The following is a 25,396-nucleotide window of genomic DNA, read 5'->3' as shown; positions in this document are numbered from 1 at the left end:
AATAATACTATTTATAACAGGACAGAAAAATATGAAACACATAGATTAATTGTAGGGAAACAGGTATGACTTCTATCCAGATATTGAGAAAAATTAAAGAAAATCTAAATGGATGAATGTATACCAAGTCCATGGATTGGAAGCTTTACTATTTTAAGAAGTCAATTATCCTCCAATTTATCTGTACATTCAATGCAATATCAACAAAATTCTAGAGATTTCTCTTTAGAAATTGATCAGATAGTGTTAAGATTTAGAAGTAAATGCAATGGACTGAAAAAAGCCAAGACAACATTGAACAAGGAAAATAAATATGGACTTATATTACCAGTTATCAAGACCTTTTATAACTTCATTAATTAAAGCAGTGTGATATGGCACAATAATGGCAAAATTAAAAGCCAATAAAAATAAATACACCTTTAATCCCACTTCATCATGTACACAAAAATAAATTCTATGTGAATTATTAATCTAAGTGCAAATGGTAACTCACTAAAGTTTCTAGAATAAAACATGGGAGAATGTCTTTGTGAAAAGCAAAGAATTCTTAGACCACATACACGTATACATGAAACACTAAACTTAAAAGCAAAGATTGATAAATTTTAAATTAAAATTAAGAAATTCTGTTCTTTAAAAGTTACTGTTTAAGCATTCCAGTAATGGCAAACTACCTTATATTCAGGCCTTCTAGAGTTAATAATTATACACTTTGGAAAATAATATAAAAATTAACCATATGAAGGCAGTGGAGAGTGACAAAAAATACCAGAAACTGAAGGAAAGCCAATCCAAGAAAGGAAGGAACTGTACTGAATGATATTTGGAAATCTTAATATTTAAAGACAACATAATCATCTATATAGAAAATTCAAAGAATCTAAAGACAGCTATTAATTTTAAAAGTAGCTAAACAAATTTGCTGGGCATGCTACTTACTAATACCAATCAGTAACATTCCTACACACTAGCAATAAATAATTAGAAAATTTAACAGGAAAAATATTATTCATGACTATGAGAAAAACTTCAAACAGAGGAATAAATATAAAAAAGATGTGCCTTATATCACTTTATGAGTAAAATGACAAAACAAAATTAATGAATAAATAGAAAGATACATCATGCTGATAAACAGTTAACAATATAAGATGTTGAATCTTTCCAAACTATTCTGTGAAATAAATAGAATTTCTATTGAAATCTCAAAATCTCAAAATATTTTCTTGGGACTTAATAATGGGACTTAATAAGCTGATCCTCAAAGCATATGGCAGAATAGAAAGTTAAGAATTACCAATATAAATTTGAAGAAGTGTTTGAGAAAACATATGCTTTCAGAAATCATGACCTACTGTAATCTGCAGCAGGGGCTGGAAAACTACAACCCATGGACCTGGTTCACCATTTGCTTTTATAAGTAAATACTGGAAAACAGCCATGCCTGCATGTATTTTTTTACTTAGCATTTTTGGCTGTTTCTGTGCTGCAATGGGAAAATTTAATAGTTGCAATGGAGACCATATGGCCTACAAAGCCTCAAACGTTTATTGTCTGGGCACTTTACAGAAAATGCTTGCTGACTCCTGATCTATAGTAATTAAAACTATTTAGTATTGACAGAAGAAAAGGTAAATAGACTATTGGAACAGAATAGAGAGTTAAGAAACATGCAGATTTTGTATATGATATAGGAGGCCTCACACATCCGTAGAGAAAAGATGAACTCTGCAATAAAAAAGTCTTGGAAAACAGGTTATTAGTAAGAAAAAATAATTTCAAATTAAGACAATATAAAATTAAATTATCATTTCATGTCATTACAAAAGTAAATGGATTCTTGAAGTTTTTAAAGAACTGAAATCTCTTTACATAATGAAATGTCAAGCTGCACCCTGGGGACAGGTAATTAATAAATAGGTGAACATAACTGGTTAATATCCAGTATAATAATACATTAATATCCAGATCATATAAGGAACTCACATATAACTATAAGAAAAAAAGATTAGCAACCCATTTTTTTTTCCTTACCATCTGCTGCCTGTTGATGAAAAACTAAACTTATGAACAGGATTCTCAAAAGTGAAAATCCAAATTCCCTCAAAATATGTGAAACGATTATTCTCACAGGTAATTAAGGAAAAGCAAATGCAAACCACAATGAAATAGAATTTCATCTGCATGAGAATGATGGCAATATTTGCCATATTAAAATTGACGTATTGTAAAACGACATTTGTCAGAAACTTTTAACTAGTTATAGTTAGTTTCAACTGAGAAGAGACAAGGCAGTATAATGGAATTGGTAAAATATAGAGTTAGGATTACCCCTACATACTTCAAAGCTGTTTCTTGGGTGTGCCTCTTAGCTGACCAAACTGGGCCGTAATTTTTTCTAAATCGCCAAGTCAAGGAAGTTTGTCATTCTTGGGTTAACTCCTGTCTTGAAACTACAGAAATGTGATGGTCATTAACACTAGTCAGACAAGTTTCATCTTATTTGTTCTCTACATCTTACCCAGCCCATAAAAACCAAGCTCCAACACTGGATGTAGCACATAAGTCAAAAGCTGCGTCAGAAGGTTCTAACTTTTGTCATCACTATTACCAGCATTGTCATCGTTATCGTTATCTTCGTCATCATCATTACCACCGTTATACCTGATACTGCCATAACAATCAGAACATTATGTACAGGTAAAGGGGACTTCACTGGGGAGAGCAAGTTGGCAAAATGTAGCAAGTTGCCATTAAGTATGTTCTAGTTTTTTGTTAATTGACTGTTTTTATAATTTAGTTTTTATTCCTGGACACTGTTAAGAAACACTCTATTGTCTGAGGTCTACAGACCCTTTGAAGTCTCTGGGAAAGTTTCCAAAAGTTAAAAAGAAAAATAATAATTCAGCAAAATTTTGCTTACTGGGAAAGAATATAAATATATAATTGACCTGAAATCTTAAGGAAATGAGGCATAAGATTTCTTTTACAATCACTCATAAGAACGCTACCGTTTTTATTCTCTAGTAATGTAATTGAAATCAAATTTTCTAATATTAAAAGGTTTTCTTAGGAATAATAAAAAATATGAATGCCATTATATATTTTGGAATAATGTACTTTCTAATATAGATTCTGAATTAGCAACAGGCAAACTGCAGGTTCTCAAAACTTCATAAATTTTCCAATGACTTCCTTTCTGTAGACTCTCTTTTGTTCAAAGTTCCAGGAGAAAGTGAAGAATAGAGGCCATTACCCATTTGTTCATTACACTTCTCTGCTCCTTATGCACAATTCTCACCCTAATGATTTAAAGTTTTCTATGGAAAAAATGTTTATTTTTATAAAATTTGAAGAATTTTGCACCACAGTCATGCTTTAACACATTTCATTATATGAGATAATTCAGGCACATCTAATTCAAATGGTTTATAAATGAAGTTCTAATACATGAAAATTATATATTTTTTAATGCTTTGCTGTTTAACTCCTAAAGCAGTGCCCAAAAGTGGTTAAAAGGAAATCTAACCACTGGCATGGACCATAAAGGTAAAATTGTAACAAGACTGATGTTTTAAAATTGTAAGTAATGTACTCACCACCATTTTGATTAACATCATTATTGCAAGTTGATTAAGGCAAATGGTTATGCCAGAATGGCAATGAGTTTTCATTTATTTTTTTCCCCTGTGATGGAGCTGGGGTCAAGCCATTCTCGTGCCTCAGCCTCCTGAGTAGCTGTGGTTACAGATGCTCACCACCACACCCGGCTGATTTTTGTATTTTTTGGTAGAGATGGGGTTTCACCATGTTGGCCAGGCTAGTCTCAAACACCTGACCTCAAGTGATCCGCCTGCCTCGGCCTCCCAAAGTGCTGGGATTACAGGCATGAGTCACCATGTGCAGCCAGCAATTAACTCTTATTTGAAGTAGATTCATTCTAAAAGTGAGGCAATTATAGTTTAGTTAAGTACACGAAGTTGGTTAAATTCATTGAAGATTAATTTTTAACCTATTTCCTTTGTTAAGTGAGGGATTCATCTTGTAATGCAAATGCTACCTTTAGAAAAAAGTGTTGCCAAAAATTAATTTGGTAAATGAGAGTAAATTGTTTCATGAATGGACATTTTTTGATATTTAGAACATAATTTTTAAAAGTGCAGCTATTATTCAAAAATAATAATAAATTCCCAGAGGCTACATTTATTAGAGGAAGGGTTGAGTTAATCACAAACTTACTGTACTCTTTTAGATATAAAATAGTACTTTAAATTATTTTTGACAAGAGAAAGCCATGTGAGGAGGAAAAAGTCATGTCAGAGCTATAGTCAATAATATGTACTCTTCAGAAATTTTCAGAGCATCCAAAATGGGTTTTTAGAGAAAAATCTCTTTTAAGCTGGGTAAAGCAGTGATTATTTTGAAACCATCTCAGAACTTAGAATAATTATTTAGGCTACATAATGTTTAGTCTCTTAGACTAATATGCATGTCTCAGAAAGCCCAAGCTACCAGACTGTTATAACTGGCTAATTCCAAACAAATTTGAGACCTTACTGTCACAGTGCACTTTTATAGTCATTAAAAGAAACATGTTATCCAATATTAATAAAGTTATAAATACTGTATTAAAAATGCTATGCCTGAGTAGACTTTTTTCTGTGAGGCTGATATTAAACAACAGCATTCTGGTATGAAAAAATACATGAAATGTGTCTGAAATAAGGAGTTTCTTTGAAGAGCTTTGATGAATAATGTTGGTTCTGCGAAACACTAATTAACAAGTCATCAAAAGAGACAAAGAGGTATAAGGAAGAGGTAGGATTAAGAATGTGGAACAGAGTGAAGAGGAAACAAATTTAGGTGGAGTTGCACAGTTGTATCAGGTAATGCTAAAAAAAACAAAAACAAAAATGTATCTACCTAAAAGTCAGTTGGTCCTGGATGAGATGAGAACAAAAAGGTTCACATACTCATAGGAAATATGTAATTCACCAAATATGTTCCCTGATTACAAACTCTTCTGTTTTGCAAGGTTTATTTAGAATGATACAGAATAGAGATTGAAGAAGCAGCTGAGGATGTTTTGCATTTGAAATCATGAATGTTTATGTTACAGCCCTTCCTCCAATGGACAATTATATAACATCATCTCTCAAGATATGAAAAATAACTAGGATTCAAACTTTATGTAGATTAAGCTTAGTGTGGCCATACAATGTAACTGTAACCATAAACTGCTTTATCTCTATGATGCCGAACCACCATATTTTCTAATTCTGTTTCAACTAATTGATTGGCTTTGATGATAAAACAACTAACTGATCTATTAATTTATATTATGCAAATAATTTACATTTGTTGTAGAAACATTATAGAAAATAGGCCAGGTGCAGTGGCTCATGCTTGTAATCCCAACACTTTGGGAGGCCAAGATGGGCAGATCGCTTGAGCTCAGGAGTTTGAGACTAGCCTGGGCAACATGGTGAGACCACTGACTCTATTACAAAAAAATAGCTGGGTGTGGTGGTGCACCCCTGTGGTCCCAGATACTCAGGAGGCTGAGGTGGGAGGATCAGTTGAGCCCAGTGGGGCAGAGGTTACAATGAGCTGAGATTGTACTACTGCACTCCAGCCTGGATGACAGAGTGAGGCTCTGTCTCAAAAAAAAGAAAGAAAGAAAGAAAGAAAATTAAAAAAAAGAAAAATTAGAAAATGCAGTTAAAAGTAAACAAAAAATCTATAATTTTATTACATAGAGATTATTGCAGTTGACATCATGGTATTTCCATCTGCAATTATCAAACCTATAATTAAAACTTGTTATATTATGTATTTATAATATAATACATAATATATTATATATTATATATATAATATTATATATAATATAATATTATATATAATATATATATAATATAATATTATATATATAATATTATATATATTATATTATGTATAATATAATATATATAATATTATATTATATATATTATAATATATATAATATAATATATATAATATAATATAATATTATATATATTATATTATATTATGTATTTAATTGTGTCTATAAGTCTTTATATGTCCCTGTGCATGATATGGCTATAGTTTACAAAAATACAATCAGACTACAACTAATGTTTTGTAACCTGCTTCAATTTTTAAAAAAAGCAAGTCAATTTCTCTTCAGCAACATGAGGACAGAAATCATGTCTATTTTGCTCACTGATGTATTTCCAGCAGCTAACCTGGGATCAATGATGATTTGCTAAGTGAATGAGCATTAGGGTCTATCCTCTTTGAGGCATTTGAGGTTTCTATGTTTTCAGCTAGCATAAAGGACTAATGTATAAACTACAATTCATGTACTATGAGTTGAAGGAGAGGCAGGTAGATTTTGATTGTTATTATCTGATTTGAACCAAAATTTTCCTCTTTCATAGGCACGGCATATCTTCCCAAAGATCTTGGCCACTATGGACTACGATCTTTATTTTTCTTGGAGTGGCGGCAATCTTGGGAGTAACCATTGGTCTTCTTGTTCATTTTCTGGCAGTTGGTGAGTACTGATTATTTTCAGTTTTCATCCTTGCTATAAATCTTTAAATTTTAAAAATTGAAAAAAAACAACATGAACATTAAATTTCTTCTTGGGAGTTTTCTTATTTACTATTTTATTTCAACACAGTTTATTATGACACAGAAATTTATAAAATTTTTTGAATCAGAGGCCTCCTTGTAAATTATATCACTAACTATGGGGGTATGAGCAAGACTGAAATGTTCAATGCTTTGATGTCAATATTCATTGTCATTAAAGGAGCTTATAGTAGGCTTGTAGTTGAATTGTTACATCCTGTAGTAAATATATCTCAAACTTTAGAGATTCCTTCTCTTCTTGGTTCAATTCTGCTATTGGTTATTAAGATATGATGAATAAGTAGCAATGAAAAATCTGCAAATAACTCTTTTAATAGTAGATAGTCAAGCATGGTTTAATGGCTAAATGTTTGCACAAACATGGTTTTATTTTTAAAACTTTTATTAACAGTATACTCACAAAGCTTAGTTTCCAATTTATTTTTACTTTTCTGAAAAATAAGTCCTTAAACCTGTATAGTTATTTAATGTTTTAAAATAAATTTGACATCCATCATTCCACTTTATCTTCCCAATAATCCTGTGAGCTAGGGATGACAGATTTTACTACTATCCTTATTTTCACATACAGTACACTGGGGCTCAGAAAAGTAAAGTGACTTGCTTGATACCACAAGCTTTTAAGTAGCATAGCTTGCTTAAAAGCTTGATATTAATATACTTAATAGTTTAATTATACTATTTTATCATGATTTTTCTGAGTTTTATATCTCTGAAATATATAACCCTATACAATAATACAATGTAGACAAATTTTGGCTGACTCAGCAAAAATTACACAGTTTCTTTCAACCTGGCTTCTTTTCCTTTGTTTCTCCTCAGTCCTCTTAAGACTTGTCTTTCAGAAGGGTAATGGGCACTCAATCTCCTGTCTGCCATATCTATCCATGAAATGTTCATAATCTCTTTCTGTCCTCTCTTTCCCTCTACTCATTAAAAAATAACATTCTTCACATAATTTCCTTAAGTACAGTGCTCTGAGTTTTCAAAATCAAGCCCTTGTGAAAAAATCCATTTTTTCAACATACAGTTTGCATCTTAACAGGTCCCCTTTCCTGGGGAAGCAAGGTCTTAATGGAAAGGAGTGGTGCAAAGGGGAACTACAGAACCCTGGCTGGAGCAGGAGGTGCATGGGATGATAATTCACCCTTCAATGACTCTACATGGTCAACCACCTACTATTTCAGATAGAAGGCTACAGCAGCTTAAATTACTTCAAGTTAAATTACTTGAACTGTCCTACCTGTGGAGTAAAAATGGACACAAACGCTGTGGTAAATGTTGTTTGAAGTCAGTTTGGAAGAGGAGTTTCTGCTGTAGGACTCTGGCTTAGGAACGAATATAATATTTGTTAATATTGAGAATAACTTAAGCTGGATAACAGCTACTGTAATCTCTCATTTAAGTGGTATGAAATTAGCTGGATGGCAGCTATTGTAATCCCTCATTTAAGTAGCATGAAATTAGTTTCCCTGTCTAAATACATCTATTATTTCTCAATCAACTTTTTTTAACTTTTGAGTTTCCACTTTTTAGATTAACTCAGAGATAAGTATTTCACAAAGATCATTATTCTAGAAATGACTTTGGTTCATCTCTTTCTCAACCGTTTTACTTAACAATGCTATTTCCAAAAGCTTAATACACATGTATAACCAATTTCATAATTCTTCAGATAGTTTATCTAATAGTTCCAAACCCTAGCTTCTTCTCAGAATCACCTGTCGAGCTCTTTTGAAGTAGTGTTCATTCTCTAGGCCCTACCCTTAGGTTAGCTGATCCAGTTGGACCGGGGCATGACCTTACCCATGCATGCCTTTTGGAAGCTCTATAGTGATTATGATGTATAGGTATTGTTATAATCTATTAGTATAAAACAATGTTTTAGAGAGGTAATAAAATCTGTCTATCCTAAGAAAAAAGACTTGATAAACTTTGAAATGGAGGGCAGTTTACCATGTAAAGATTACTGTTGCTATGTCTGTAAAACTGAAAATCACTGACCACAGTATAGAATATAGAATAGATTTCCATTCAGTTTATCTAAATAATTATAATTGCTCAATCTGCCATATCAAAATCCACAGACTGGCTAGGTTAAACAACAGACATTTTTTCACAATCTTGGAGACTGGACTTTTAAGACCAATATGCTGGTTAGTTTCTGGGGAGACTTCTTTTCCTGGCTTCTAAATAGCTGGATTCTCACTGTGCCTTCCCGTGGCCTTTCCTCTGTGTGTATTTTGGGAGATGGGGTGAAGTGAGTGAGTGAGAAAGAGAGAGAGAGCGAGAGAGATAGAGTGCGAGAGAGAGAGCGCGCGCGCGAGAGAGAGCGCGCAAGAGAGATCTGGTCTCTCTTTCTCTTATAAGGAGACTAGTCCTATTGGATTCGTGTCTCAACCTTATGACCCCATTTAACCATAATTCTCCCTTAAAGATCATGTCTCCAAATACAGTCACATTGGTGTTTAGGGCTTCAACATATGAATTTTGGAGGGGATACAATTCAATCCACAGTAAAAATCAAGTGAAAATTAATTTTAAAATGGTACCTTGAACTGATAGAATTCTCCAGTAAAATTATAACTGGAATCAGAAATCTAAACATAATGGTTTCTCAGAATCTGGGCATGATGTATGAGACTTTTGACAAATTAATCTACCTACTTGTAAATACCCTGGTTCAGTATTCTGGATGTAACACAAAGTTAGCAGATTCTAATTATTTACTTTAGTCATTTGGTGACAAGCTTCACAGATGAAAATGATAAAATAGTAGAAAGAAGAGGGTCTTAGAGTTTATCTATTGTAATTTAGTTTTTGTTTGTTTTTCTTTGTTTTTTGTTTTGTTTTGTTTTTTGGAGATGGAGTCTCACTCTATCTCCCAGGCTGGAGTGCAGTGGTGTGACCTCAGCAAACTGCAACCTCTGCCTCCCAGATTCAAGCAATTCTCCCGCCTCAGCCTCTCAAGTAGCTGGGACTACCAGCGTTCGCCAACACTCCTGGCTAATTTTTTTTTTTTTTTTTAGTAGAGATGGGGTTTCACCATGTTGGCTAGGCTGGTCTTGAACCCCTGACCTCAAGTGATCCTCTCACCTCTGCCTCCAAAGTTCTGGGATTACAGCTGGGAGCCACCGCACCAGGCTGCAATTTAGTTTTTGTGATTAATAAAGAAAATCCCAGCGGGCTAAATATGCCAAGACAGCACAGCTGATTTGTGATGGGGCTGGAACTAGCTCCTCTAGCTTCATATGCATTCATCTTTTCAGGTAACTTCTCAGACAGACTTTGGCATTGGACTTTTGTATATATTGGTTACCATAAGGAAAAATATAAGAATCTATAGGAATATAGGAAATCAGTTTTTATTTTATTTTAAAATTATTTCTAACTTACAGGGTAATAAATTATTTCAGCTTAGGAGATCATACTTTTCAGTAACTTAGAGACTACATGGTGTATGTTAAAGGTGGATCAAAAGCACAATTGCTCTCAAAATACAGGAATGGCTAATTACTTAACCAAAACAGGGTATTCTTTCATATTAGTTCTTTTTATTTTATTTTTTTTGACATGAGGGTCTCACTCTGTCACCAAGTCTGGAGTGCAGTGGTGCAATTACAGCTCACTGTAGACTTGAACTCCTGGGCCCAAGCAATTCTCCCACTTCAGCTTCCTCAGTAGCTGGGACTACAGGCACGTGCCACCATGCCCAGCAAATTTTTTAAGTTTTTTGTAGAGACAGGCTCTCACTATGCTGTCCAGGCTGGTCTTGAACCCCTGGACTCAAGCAGTCCTCCCAACTTGACTTCAAAAACTGCTAGGACTATAGGCATAATCCACTGCATCTTGGTAATTCCTATTTTTAAGAGGCTTGTCCTGTTTTAAATTATGGTGACCTAATGTATCACGTGAAGCAGTTTATATTTGGGGAAAGGAAAAGATGGGGATATGAGACCTTGTGACTCACACAAAGCACCACCCATCATATGCTGTAGGGAAATAAAAGGGCACCATGCTTTTACACTGTTGGGAGTGTAAATTAGTTCAACCACTGTGGAAGACAGTGAGATGATTCCTCAAGGATCTAGAACCAGAAATACCATTTGACCCAGCAATCCCATTACTGAGTATATACCCAAAGGATGATAAATCATTATCATTCTACTATAAAGACATATGCACCCTTATGTTTATTGCAGCACTGTTCACAATAGCAAAGACTTAGAACCAACCCAAATGCCCATCAATGATAGACTGGGTAAAGAAAATATGGCACATATACACCATGGAGTACTATTCAGCCATAAAAAGAATGAGTTCATGTCTTTTGCAGGGACATGGATGAAGCTGGAAACCATCATTCTCAGCAAACTAACACAGGAACAGAAAACCAAACACCACATGTTCTCACTCATAAGTGGGAGCTGAACAATGAAAACACATGGACACAGGGAGGGGAACATCACACACCAGGGTTGGCAGGGAGGTGGAGGCACTAGTGGAGGGATAGCATTAGGAGAAATAACTAATGTAGATGGCAGGTTGATGGGTACAGCAAACCACTATGGCACGTGTATACCTATGTGACAAATCTGCATGTTCTGCACGTGTATCCCAGAAGTTAAAGTATAATAATAATAATAATAATAATAATAATAATAATAATAATGGCACCATGGTGTCCTCCAGGAATAACATCAAGGAATGGAAACCAGGCCAGCAGGCAAAGGGCATACAAAAGGGTGCAAGACAGTGTATATCATCCAGAAAGTGAAGGGTGACTGATGCTTGTATGTTTCCTGTATTAGAATTGCTTAGAAAGATTAATTGGGTAATTGCTAGGCTGAGTTTAGACTATACATGTAAAAGATGTTTTATATCTAGTGCATACTCAGGTGGATTGTTAGTGACTGTGGGCATTGCTGTTTTGAGGAGGGTGCTGAGGGTATATCTGGACTTAGCAGGACAGTAATGTCTATTATCACATAAAGGGAAAGCGGGGATCATTGAATGAATGATATGGAGTTGCCATTTCTGGAATAAACAATTGTTCACTCCTCTCCTTTTATTTTTCTCCCTCCCTTGGATTATTTCTAAAGCTGGGTTGAATGTTGAGGCAGAGGTATAAATGGTTAAGGCAGAGGTATAAATGTTGAGGCAGAGGTATAAATGTTAAGGCAGAGGTATAAATGGTTGAGGCAGAGGTATAAATGGATTATTTCTAAAGCTGGGTGGAATGTTGAGGCAGAGGTATAAATCGCTTTAAAGTCACTTTCCACTTTAAAATTCTTTGAGGTTTTTTTTTCTTAATTTTGCAGAGAAGACTTACTATTATCAAGGTGATTTTCATATTTCTGGAGTCACATACAATGATAATTGTGAAAACGCAGCTTCACAAGCCAGCACAAATCTAAGCAAAGATATTGAGACTAAGGTAAATCAGAGATTTTTAAAATTAATTTTATTATAAATTTGATTGAAACATACATGATGACTGTTTTTTTTCTCTTGTCAGATGTTAAATGCATTTCAAAATTCCAGTATATATAAGGAATATGTCAAATCTGAGGTCATCAAACTTCTGTAAGTACAAGTTCATTTAAGATTTTATGAAAGGAAAGTAGGTGATATATCATACAACCTTGATTTTAGATAACAATAACAACAAAAAACAAACATAAAGAAAAAGAGAAACAAAGGAAAGGAAAGAAAGAAAGGAAGGAACGAAGGAAATAGAAAAAAAAAGAAAAAGAAAGATCAAGTTCTCCATGAATGAAAGTATCATTGTATCTAGCAAATTTCTGTTCTGGGCAAGAGTCATTATATACAAATCTTTAATCTTATACCTGCAAAAGAATTATAAGGTTATTGGTGGTGGTCAGTCCTAACTGACTGCTATGATGAAAGATAATTATAACTCCAGGGAAAACAAATAATTCAACTGGTTTGTTTTTAGCCCATACCTTCCCTAAAAACATCCTATTTTAGTTTCCTTAATAATTATCATCCTTACAATGGCTGTGGAACAAAGACAATATTTTAAGACAACATTTGTCTAGACACACCTTTGAAGGATGCCTGAAGATAGTGGTGGTAGGGAGGGATGCAGGGAGGAGGGTATAGTGTATGGGGGAAGAGTAATGAGGGTAGAGCCCACTTGTAATTTGGTAATTGTTAATATCAGTTCTGGGGAATTCTGAACTCTCAAAACAAAACAAACAAAAAATCCAGCTGACCTAACCAACCTACTTACCTACAGACAAACAAAAACCTTCAAAGACCCTAGAATTGATCATAATTATTTGAAAGTGAAATTATGGATATTTTAACAATTCTGATTGATATGGCTTTGGTTTGAAAGTCTTCCAAAATGAATTAATCTCTTTTCCTGATTAATCAAAAGAATGTACTGAATATATAATCAAGATGTCCTTCATGCTTTAGAATTCTCTTTCTGAGCTTTTTCATTGTATAGATCTGTTGGGGCAGACTGGTTATGTATAAAAAAACCGTAGGAAGAAGGTTAGCACTGGCTTCTAAATACATGCTGGAAATTGTCTTTTGAATGCTTCCCTGCCCTATCTTTATTTTCTCATTTATCTCTTTCTATAAAATGAAGTTATTAGAAAAATTCTTTATGAGAGCACTGGTTTTTATTGTATTATAGTAAGACTTCATGCCAATCATTTCTTGGCCAGTATTCCATTTCCCATAGTGTTTGAAATATTCTGATTTTAGTTTGTGGTCTATATTTTCTTCCATGAATAGCACATCTGAACTAGACGTACTAGAAGTTTTTTTAGATATCTTTGAATTTTATACATGCTTAGATAGTATATGTATATTTTTCTTTAATATATGTAAAGAAAATGTGATAATTAAAATGTGTGAAATTTAATGTGTTCACAAAACCTCTAAAAGATCAAGAAACAGTACATTAGAAAATTTCTGTTGTTTCTAGGCCTAATGCCAATGGTTCAAATGTGCAGTTACAGCTGAAATTCAAGTTTCCTCCAGCAGAAGGAGTTAGCATGAGGACTAAAATCAAGGCTAAATTACATCAGATGTTGAAAAACAACATGGCATCCTGGAATGCAGTTCCTGCTTCCATTAAACTCATGGGTATTTGACTTATTTCCATTATTTTCTATTACATAGGTTTTTTCTGGATTATTTTTTTAAAAAGTACTAAAAAGTGAACTAAGAGTTTTAGTAATTCGGGAAAAAAATATGCGTACCTAACTCTGGCACCCCTAGCAATGACTTGGTAGTGGAAAGGGCAGTGCCATGGAATCATTGTCTGAAGAATGATAGGAATGAGGGTTACACTGCAAGCATGGATGTAAGTTTGGAAGGGTTTGGCTATTATGCATGGGAAAGGGGGTGAAGGGTTCTAATTGAATTATCTTCTTGTTTTTTTTTTTGAGATGGAGTCTTGCTCTGTTGCCCAGGCTGGAGTGCAGTGGCGTGATCTCGGCTCACTGAAACCTCTGCCTCCCAGGTTCAAGCAGTTCTCCTGCCTCAGCCTGGGACTACAAGCATCCGCCACCACACCTGGCTAATTTTTTTGTATTTTTAGTAGAGACAGGGTTTTACCATGTTAGTCACACTGGTCTTGAACTCCCGACCTTGTGATCTGCCCACCTCGGCCTCCCAAAGTGCTGGGATTACAGGCATGAGCCACCGAGCCCAGGCAAAGTATCTTTCTTTTCTACTCCTTGCTTTTGTCAGGATCTCATGACAGAAAGCAGATTTAGGGCTTTCTTGGTCTTTCAGTAAGGAGACTGCAGGAGTTAAGAACAATGTTAGGGATGGGAGTTCTTATTGATTTTTGTGAAAAAACTGGAGTAATACCACTTTTAAAGAAAAAAATTGTCTGGAAAATTCCCTAGAAAACAAGGGAATCATGAAATTTTGAGAACTTAAATTTAAATCTTTTTCCTATTGGTAAAAGACTTTAGAGGGAAGGAGAAGAGGAGGAAACTAAAGAAACACTAGAAAATGCTGAGTATACTCTATGGGACACAGAAAGAGAGTAAACAATCTATCCCTCTTTCCCAAAAGCTTCTCACAGAAAAATGATAAGATTTTGCCTCCTTACAGAAAGTGAAGTTTGTAAAGATTGTGAAGGTTTTGCAAAGGTCTTGAAACTGTCACTTGGATTGTTAAAAGTCCAGCTAGGTGATAAGCATATGATTTCAGAGTCCAGTTTCATGGTTCTTCCAGCCAGACAATTAATCCTAGGGTCTTCGAGGGCTTGAAAGGCCAGCAACATCTGCCAGTTACCGCTCTTTTGCCACACAATAAAGACCCCGTTACCAGTGAACCACTAATAAGAAGGGAACCTGAGGTAGAACTTTTCAAGGGAGCAATAAAATTTTTCTGTGAGTAGCTTTTGGGAAAGAGGGATACGTTGTTTACTCTCTTTCTGTGTCCCATAGAGTATAGTCAGCATTTTCTAGTGTTTCTTTAGTTTCCTCCTCTTCTCCTTCTCTCTAAAGTCTTTTACCAATAGGAAAAAGATTTAAATTTAAGTTCTCAAAATTTCATGATTCATTCTTAGTAAGGAGATTTCCCTAAAGAGCAGGATGGGCTCAGTGAAGTATAATTTTAATTGGGACATTTTTCCTTAAAATATATATAATTCTGAGCATTTCAGAGTAAAGAGAATTATCATGGGAAAGAAATCTCTATCATGATCTCTTAAAAGTATTTGTAAGGGGGAGGGGGGAGGGACAGCATTAGAAGATATACCTAATGTTAAATGACGAGTTAATGGGTGCAGCACACCAACATGGCACGTGTATACATATGTCACAAACCTGCACGTTGTGCACATGTACCCTGAAACTTAAAGTATAATAAAAAAACAATTTGTAAGGGTGCCAGCTTCTTACAGCACTGAATATTTTACTTCAATAATCATAAAACTGATTTTTGTTTTTTATTCCCTTTTCTCTTTTTCTAGGCTACCTAGTAGAGATATGGAGAGATGGTTATAATGTAACAAATAAGAGTCAGAGGGGCTGAAAATACCTGAACTACTCCAAATAGTTAAATGTTGGACAATATTGGGTTAGGAAAGTTAGCATTTATGTTCTTAGGTTGAAGTCAATTGCTTGGTGATATTTGCTCAATTTTATATTTTGTTTTGTTTTTCACTTTCAGAAATCAGCAAGGCTGCTTCTGAAATGCTTACCAACAACTGTAAGTTAAGGACCTTTTAATTATAAATTTGATGGACTCACAGGTATTTTCTCATTATTTTTCTATTAAAAATACTTGAAATATGTCATGTGGAAATCCCATAACACGCTTTCCGAATTACTAGATATACCAGATATTGACTTAGAATTTCTCTTTGAAAAACACTGGTCTATTAATTTTAACATTTATTAAAAAATATATAAAAAGTTAAATGAAAATTGATTCCAAATAATAAAACTGTGAGTGAAAAATATCATATTTGAATATGTTAAAATGAGAAAGATTGAAGGAAATGACAATTTAGGATAAGAAGAAAATATAAAACCAGGCTATATAAAATATATTTATTAAAGATAAAAACAGTTCTGCATCTTAAAAATTATTATTATTTTTTGCTTTAGAGGTGGGATGTTGCTATGTTGTGTGGGCTGGAGTGCAATTCACAGGTGCAATTACAGTGGACTATAGCCTGGAACTCTTGGGCTCAAGCAGTCCTCCTGCCTCAGCCTCCCAAGTAGCTGGGCCTATAGGAGCATATCGCTGTCCTGTTACATCTTTTAAATAAATTCTCTTTAGAGTATCATGTTTTCCACAAGATACATTTATGCATTCATTCACTCCATGGATATTTATGGAGTATCTTTTGTTCACATGGTGTCTTACAGACAGCAGTGCATATACTATGCAAGATGTAGACACCAATGAGGCAAAGCTCCTCCTTCAAGAATCTGCTTAGAGAGACAAGAGTTATAACACATAGACACAACAAAAAATAGTGGTTGAAAGATGCTTGAGACTGGAAAAGAGGATAAGTAAGAACCACTCAAACCAAGATAGAATACAGAAACATCACAGGAGTATCTTGTAGGAAAGAAACGTCATCAATTAGGAGAAGTTGAATAATCACTGAAAGGTTTCAAGTAATTTTTAATGATATATTTTTTTATAATGCGTAATCAAAGATACCTGCTCTCGTGTAAATAAATCCTTTCTCTAGGTTGTGGGAGACAAGTAGCCAACAGTATCATAACTGGCAACAAAATTGTGAATGGAAAAAGCTCCCTGGAGGGGGCATGGCCATGGCAGGCCAGCATGCAATGGAAAGGCCGTCACTACTGTGGAGCCTCTCTGATCAGCAGCAGGTGGCTATTATCTGCAGCTCACTGCTTTGCTAAGTAAGTTTGAAAATTTGACTAAATGAAGGATGCTAGGTGCAAAACTATTTTGGATAGTTTGTAGGGGTTAACTTAATGTGTCAAGGTTCACCAAGGCCATATGAAATTTACAATCACATAGAACATTTACAATCACCTGCGTAATTAAAGAGCAGGAAAGGAAATGCATTTAAATTAGAGAAAGGAGAGAAAAGCAAATAGAAGTATTAATTAACATTTTCCAAATAGGTACCTTGGCCTGACATTAAGTGCTTTACTTAACATCATTTCATTTAATCACAACATTCAATTCTGTATGGAAGGTATAGTTAAAACCATTTGAAGATGAGGAAACTAAGTCTCACTCAGGAAAGGTGACAAAACTTGGCTAAGATCACTCAGCTCTTTTTTTTTTTTTTTGAGATGGAGTCTCAATCTGTTGCCCAGGTTGGAGTGCAATGGTGCGATCTCAGCTCACTGCAAACTCTGCCTCCTGGGTTTAAGCGATTCTCCTGTCTCAGCCTCCTGAGTAGCTGGGATTACAGGCACGCACCACTATGTCCAGCTAATTCTTGTATTTTTAGTAGAGACGGGGTTTTACCATGTTAGTCAGGCTGGTCTCGAACTCCTGACCTTAAGTGATCCGCCTGCCTCAGCCTCCCAAAGTGCTGGGATTACAGGTGCGAGCCACCATGCCCAGCCTAGTTCTTAAATAATAGAAACTGAATGTGAATTCAAGTGTGTCTGACTCCAGTTACTAGGTGCTTCCTTGTCTTGCCATCCAGAAGTTTATAATCTAGTTGAGAAAATTTAAATGTCATATATTAAAAGTACGAGGCTGTATAGTATTGTAAACATGACACGTATTACAAAGATAGTAAGTACGATGGAAATTTGAAGAAAGACAGCATATCCATCTGACGTAAAATTTAATCTGGACCCAAAAATTGAGTATATCCAAAGGAAGATAAATTGTTCTACCAAAAAGCCATATGCACTTGTATGTACACCACAGCTCACAATAGCAAAAACATGAAATCAACCTAGATGCCCAGCAACGGTGAACTGGATAAAGAAAATATGGGTCATATACACCATGGAATACTATCCAGTCATAAAAAAGAATAAAATCATGGCCTTTGCAGGAACATGGATGCAGTTGCAGGCTATTATCCAAACTAAATGAATTAATGCTGGAACAGAAAACTAAATACCACATCTTCTTGCTTATAAGTGGGAGCTAAACACTGAGTACATATGGATACAAGGAGGGGAACAATAGACATTAGGGCCTACTTGAGGGTGGTAGAAGGGTGAGGGTAAAAAAAGTAGCTATTGAAACCAAGGGTATGTGGCAATAAGACTAATCCTGGACCCCATCCACTTACGGAATTGAGGACGCTCATGTGATTCCTGACCAAATTAAATGTTCAGAAACTGGATGGAACTGAATAAGCAGGGGAAAACATCAGTGACTCTACTTGAAAAGATCTTCAGAAAGCTGACAAATCTGAGTCCTTAGCATTATTTTTAAGTGACTGCAACATTTACAACAGCTCCATGTCAAAGATAGTTTTCAAAATAGAATTTCAGTGGTTTATAGTTTTGTTTGGGAACCTCATGCCTTAAAATTATGAGATAATCACCACTAAGAACAGTGTTGTGACCCAGCAACTGAGTGTATTCTAATTACATTGTGTCCTCTAGGAAAAATAATTCAAAAGATTGGACTGTCAACTTTGGAATTGTAGTAAATAAACCATATATGACACGGAAAGTCCAAAACATTATTTTTCATGAAAATTATAGCAGTCCTGGGCTTCATGATGATATTGCCCTTGTGCAGCTTGCTGAAGAAGTTTCTTTTACAGAGTACATTCGTAAGATTTGTCTTCCTGAAGCCAAAATGAAGCTCTCAGAAAATGACAATGTTGTAGTTACAGGTTGGGGAACACTTTATATGAATGGTAAGTTTTTTTGTAAAATCATAATAGCTGCATGGGAATAACTATTTAATCAATCAATCAATCAATCAATCAATCATCCCCTCATGCAATTAATCAATCAGTAAATATACTGAAAAGAAAACCAAGTGGTGGGACAAAAAGCATGATGTCAAATTGTCTTCACTTCCTAAAATATCTCTGGGAATGGGAATTGGAAAAATTGAAATTATGTGTTAGGCAGCCAACTATTACAAACACCTGAAAGAGACTAATCTAACCTGGGACTGGCCTGACTCTTGGTGACCAAGAGAGTCTGCTTTATGCTATAGGTAGATATTCTTTGTCCCAGCAAAGTCTAAGATCTGCATAATATGCAGCACTTATTGCTTTTAGGTTCATTTCCAGTGATACTTCAAGAAGACTTTTTGAAGATTATTGACAACAAAATTTGCAATGCCTCATATGCATACTCTGGCTTTGTGACTGATACAATGTTATGTGCTGGATTTATGTCAGGAGAAGCTGATGCATGTCAGGTATGTCTAGTTACATTATCCAGTTGTTTTCTCCCAGTTAATCAAATGGAAGTTTTTATCCACATAAAATTTTTTTTGTGTTAATAATACTGACATAGTAGCTTTGTATTTCAATACACTAAAAATGTATTAATTCCATTTATGTACCAGACACTAGCCTACATGCTAGGGACGTGGAGGTGAACACAATCCTGCCCTCACGAAGTTTTCAATCTGGGAATTCATACAAAGAATAACACTTAGAAGAAGTTTACAAGATGAATTTTGTCCTATTTTCTGGGCAACCTGCAGACCTAGAATGTTGTCTTCTCTTTATCCAGAGATGCATCAGGAGTCTGGGCACATGCCTATGCCACTTGTTCCTCAGAGGCTTCATCATAGAGACTTAAGCTCAGTGCAAGCAGCTAAGTCACCTTCTCCATATTCAAGCTGCACTCATTATATAAGTCAAACTCTGGTTTGCTCAAGTCAACATTTGGCAGTTTTAGGCCATATATTCTGGTTTGTAGCTGTCTTGTGTTTTAAAAAAAAGTCCTAAGGGTTTCAGAGTTCTAAGCCCAAAGAGAGTGAATTGGTTTCAGTGCCCAGGAGGTACAGATAACTCCACAGGAGAGGTAAAAGGAAATTTTTTGTTAAGACAAGAAACATTTTTTTCTTTTCTTCTTCTAGAATGATTCTGGTGGACCACTAGCTTACCCTGATTCCAGAAATATCTGGCATCTTGTTGGAATAGTAAGCTGGGGTGATGGATGTGGTAAAAAGAATAAGCCAGGTGTCTATACTCGAGTGACTTCTTATCGCAATTGGATTACATCCAAGACTGGACTCTGAAAAAAAAGGAATTATACAAAGGAACATAAAGACCACTGTAGGCTATCCTTATCTGTGGCTTTGGGATCTTTTTATTTTGATTGTTGGTAAACTAATCATTTTATTATATATAAAAATATAAATGTCTTTATTAATATTTTATTATATCTAAAACACTGTCCATGCATTTATTAATCTTTTAAATTAATGTAAGAGATAGGAAGAGGCCAGGTGTAGTGGCTCATGCCTGTAATCCTAGCACTTTGAGAGGCCGAGATAGGCGGATTGCTTGAGCCCAGGAGTTTGAGGGCAGCCTGGGAAACATGGCTAAATCCGTGTTCAAAAAATACAAAAATTAGCTAGGCATGGTGGCGTGCACCTATAGTCCCAGCTATTCAGGAGGCTGAGGTGGGAGGATTGCTTGAGCCCAGCAGGTTGAGGCTGTGGTGATTTGTGATTGCGCCACCACTGCACTCCAGCCTGGGCAACAGAGTGAGACCCTGTCTCAAAAAAAAAAAAAAAAAAAGGAGAGAAGAAAATAAAGAAGGCTAATATATAATTTTTCTTAATAGCTGAGTTGTGATTCATTTTACCATTATATTCAGAATTGACCTTAATTTGTTTTCCAGAATCAAAAGAAAATAAAATATAAATTTTGAAACTATGAGAACATATATAGGGGATTTATCAAATGAGTTACTTTTTATTATATCAATTATAATTTCATTTTATTAACTGGAATAAGTGCGAAAGTGTACATTACTTTTTAACTTATATGTGAAATGATTCATGTACCTCACAAAATCATGCAATCTTGCAGTGAAGAAGGAGTATCAGAGCTCCAGCTACACTGAGTCTTTCAATTTACAGATCAAGAAACTGAAGACCAGAGAAGAGAAATGATTTGGTTAAAGTCACTCTCCATCATCTGTGATAAGTTGACAAATTTATCCTTACACAAATTTGTCCTCATTGAGTTGACATCCAAAATTTGTCAGGAATTAAAGAATGACTTTTGAGTGGCAATTATTTATATAACATTTTCCATTGTCTTCATATTCACCTTTTGTCATTTGTTTGCTTTCTCTTGCAGCAAAAATAATATGAGGTCATCAAGGGCAGAGAACTGTGTGGCATCTCCTTATAGTAAAAGTGCAATCATATGGATGGCTAACTTTGTAATCTCTACAAATAATTTACCTTATGTAATTTTCCAAATGTAAAAGTCACCAAAAACTTAAAGGCATTAAAATAAACTAAAAAAGTACTCATTTCTTCATTTGTTTGTGGAGCTACTCTTTTATTCTTTATTATAAAGTATGGCTCAAATGATATGCATATTGACATCAAGCAAATCTATAACCATCTGTGACAAGATGGTGTCTTTCTCTCCTCACTTCTGTTTCAGGCCAGCCACATGTATTTATTGAGTCCCTAGTGTGTTTCAGGAAATGTCAGGTATAGATACAATGTCTTCCTTCAAGGATACCACATTTAGTGAATAAAGATAGGCAGTAAACACATAAATAAGATAATTTTGGATTACGATAAATGTTATAAAGGAAATAAAAAGTAATGTGATAGAAAATGATGGAGCAGATAAGCTATAATTTAGATTGGGAAGTCTGAATGACATCTCTGAGGGGGTAGCCATTTGAGCTGTACCTAAAGGATGAAAAGCCAAAACATGGAAAACATATGAAAGAAAAGATATCCAAAGGGAACAAGTATGAGATCCAGAGAGAGAGAGAAAAGTGAGGTGGATATGTGCAGCAGAAAGAAGGCCAATGTGATTGAAACCCCATGGATAAATGAGAGATGGTAGGGGAGAAGATGGAGGAGGTAGATGGGGGCCAAGTCAAGTACCGCTTGGTAAGCCATGGTAAAGACCTTGAATTTTCATTCTAACTGCAATGGGAGGCCCAGGAGTTTTCCAAGCAAAGGGAGTGAGATAATCTAATATGCACTTTGAAAAGATTACATAACTTTGATGAAGAGAATGGGCTGGAGTGGGGGTGAAGAGCACAGAATGCAGGCAGACTGGTTAGAAAGCTACTGCAGCTGTCCTAGTAAGAAATGAACACATATTCATCCTTTTCCTTGGGCTAGGAATATGCCTTGGTAGGATAACAGAAGACATCCTTTTATAGTGCAACCCAAAGTAGAACAAAGTTTAATATTACTAAGAGGTCAAAGGTATTGCAGGCTGTATAATGATTTCCTTGTCTTATAGATAGTTAATTCAGAAGTCAGATGTTTACAAGCATTTAATTTATCCCCGACATCATGAGTTGAATCACAGTCTGTCCCTTGCTTCTTCCAGAGGGAAAACAAATGGAACTGAATGAGTAATAACCCCAATATGGAAGAAAGAGGAAAGTGATTGGAAGGAAAGGGTGGACAGGAATTTGGAGGAGGATGGGAGATTGGTGGAGGAAGAGAATTTGTGAGACTAAGGGGTCCATGAGAAAGAAATGAAGCGTGAAGATTTCTCAAGATTGAGGCTTCCTGGTTGAACAAGGAGGGATATGATAGCATGAGTGGCCAATCTCCAGGCTTGGTGTGGAGGTAAGGAGCAGGTGGGGCAAGTTGCATAAGGTAAAGCAGTTATTATTCAGCCAAAGGTGGATTCTTTATGGGGTGCAATAGTAGCCTTTACTTCAGTCTTAACAACTTAGAATCTTCACTTTCATATGGACTGTATGTGTGACGGATCAGCTAAAAGTAAGTGTTTTTTTTTCTTTTTGGTAGTAATAGACTGCGCCATCCTGGCCTTCTGATGTTAACAGCACATTGAGAAGTTCACACAAAGAATTAGAGGTCTGCCTTGAGAAATAAAACCAACAACACTAATCACAATGCATGAAAATTAAAATGCTAAATTGACAAAAGTATCATTATTTGCATTACAAAATTAGTCACCATTTTATTAAAAAGTAAAAGATTTTCTCAAATAAAATGCTTTTACTACTCATAAGTGGTATGGAAAAGAAACCAGAGATGAATGATTAAGGAGATATTTTACGCTCCCCCCATTCCCCAGCTAAGCAGAACAAAACAAAACAAAACAAAATAAAACAAAGAACAACTTAGACTAATTTAATTATTTCTTCCTGTTTTTAAGTAGGGGAAGTTGAAGTCCATTTTGAAGGAGTCCATTGAGCAAGAATTTGAGAAAGAGCATACCATTACTGACTAGCGGGACCACAGCTATTAATAAATGTCCATATGTTCTTGAGAAACATAAAAAATTATGTGTTTGAAATATGAAACTGTTTGTGATATAAGATAGGGATATAGTCTTGTGCACTATGAAGCATAAGCCAAGATCTTTTTGTGAATGTAGTGCTAATTAAAATGGCATTTTTTTAAAGATTGAAAAAAAAATTAATGCCATATATGATAGCACAAAGTTGACAAGGTTGTTCCCTCCTTCTTGTGAAGCCTCCAATTAACCAACCAGTTTAGGCTTTAATAAGGAATTTTTGAAAGTGACTTCCTTGTTCAAGGATTGTGTCTACTCTAGAAACATCTCCAACTTATCAGTGTATGAGAACTCTTTTTTAACTCATAAGGCAGTATTTTGTTATGCAACACAGACTTTCATATTAATGCTTTCAAAGAATGTTTTCACTGAAAATGAATCAGAAAAGAAGAGACGAAGTGATGAAAAGTATCTAAAAATGTTTTTAGGTTTATTTTTAAAAATTTGGTCTTAGAGGCAGGGTGCGGTGGCTCACACCTGTAACCCCAGCACTTTGGGAGGCCAAGGCAGGCGGATCACGATGTCAGGAGAACGAGACCATCCTGGCTAACACAGTGAAAACCCCGTCTCCCCTAAAAAATACAAAAAATTAGCCAGGTGTGGTGGCGGGCGCCTGTAGTCCCAGCTACTCGGGTGGCTGAGGCAGGAGAATGGCGTGAACCCCGGAGGCGGAGCTTGCAGTGAGCCGAGATCGCGTCACTGCACTCCAGCCAGAGCGAGATTCCATCTCAAAAAAAAATAAAAAATAAAAATTTGGTCTTAGATATTGGTCTAATGGCTCAAAGCCTGCTAGAAGCTGTTTTCCATTGACTGGAATTTTTATTTTTATTTTTTGGCATACCTGAAAATATCTTCATGTTCTCCTCATTGAGCTTGTCATTTGCCATTTGTTATGACTTAAATACTGTGATCAGTCATGACATCTACACTCACTGCCCCTGCCCCTATCTCCCCATTCACTATCTAGCCCGGCAAAACCACAAACACGGTTCAGTCCAACTCTTCAACTTTTTAGTGCATGTACCATAGTTGTTGACTGTAGCTGGAGAAAAACACACATCATGCTGGCTACTCTTTAAAATCTTAGTCATGAACCTCAGTTATATCCTTAATGCTCTTTGAAAATCCCTTTGCACTTCCTTAGCCAAAACTCCCTCTTATTCTCCTAAATAACTCATTCACTTCTCTCCTGCTCTTAACTCCAACACTGTCTTTTTCTCCTCCTTACACTCACCTGATGATCATGCTCATTGTTTCACCAAGAAAACAAGAGGAACCAGATGAGAGTTTCTACTGGCACTTATCATAAAAATCTACAAATCTACTTGCTTCTCAAAGGGCAGTATAGGTAACTGAACTTGAGCTAAACAGCCTTTGTGCAAACGCTGGTTTGCCATGTACAAGATGGGTGACTTTGGGCAAATTATTTAAAATCACTATGCCTCAGTTTCTTTGATGTGATATGGGGATAAGAATGATATCTACTTCATGGTGTTGTTTTGGAGTATTCAAGGAGTTAAAAGTAATGTACTTAGAACACATAGCAAATGCAAGATAGATGTTAGCTGTTATTGTCATCTATCCTCCTTTTTCTTACAATGGATTAACTGTTTGTACACCACTCTAAGGCCAAACTCTCCCCTTGTGCTAAGAACCCATCTGTACTCACCTTCTCAAAGATTTTATTTCTATAACTGTTGCCCATCCCTGTTTATGTCATCAATTTTCCCCTCTATACTGGATCATTTCCATAGACACAGTAACTTCTGCAATATCTTCCAGATAAAAACATACTTATTTTTTAACCCT

At 35.3% G+C, this 25,396-nt stretch overlaps 1 protein-coding gene across 3 annotated transcripts; it reads left to right on the top strand.

Annotated features, from left to right (window-relative positions):
* The first annotated feature begins 2,559 nt into the window (after positions 1 to 2,559).
* Positions 2,560 to 21,601, top strand: TMPRSS11B (transmembrane serine protease 11B). Of its 3 annotated transcripts, XM_011531608.3 has the most exons (11): positions 2,560 to 2,703; positions 6,450 to 6,565; positions 11,988 to 12,103; positions 12,185 to 12,252; positions 13,631 to 13,791; positions 15,838 to 15,876; positions 16,874 to 17,051; positions 18,738 to 18,997; positions 19,370 to 19,512; positions 20,182 to 20,380; positions 21,193 to 21,601. In XM_011531608.3, exons 1-10 carry the CDS (start codon positions 2,696 to 2,698, stop codon positions 20,341 to 20,343), a joined length of 1,251 nt encoding a protein of 416 aa, XP_011529910.1. In that variant the 5' UTR covers positions 2,560 to 2,695; the 3' UTR covers positions 20,344 to 20,380; positions 21,193 to 21,601. The 3 variants fall into 3 exon arrangements, with proteins under 3 accessions (XP_011529910.1, NP_872308.2, XP_011529911.1); NM_182502.3 differs by having other exon boundaries at positions 20,182 to 21,601; XM_011531609.1 differs by lacking the exons at positions 19,370 to 19,512; positions 20,182 to 20,380; positions 21,193 to 21,601 and having other exon boundaries at positions 18,902 to 18,994.
* The last annotated feature ends 3,795 nt before the right edge of the window (positions 21,602 to 25,396 follow it).

Source organism: Homo sapiens, chromosome 4 (assembly GCF_000001405.40).
Source record: "Homo sapiens chromosome 4, GRCh38.p14 Primary Assembly".
Taxonomy (NCBI): domain Eukaryota; kingdom Metazoa; phylum Chordata; class Mammalia; order Primates; family Hominidae; genus Homo; species Homo sapiens.
The sequence above is the reverse complement of the archived record's forward strand: the minus strand, read 5'-3'. Positions and strand labels throughout refer to the sequence as shown.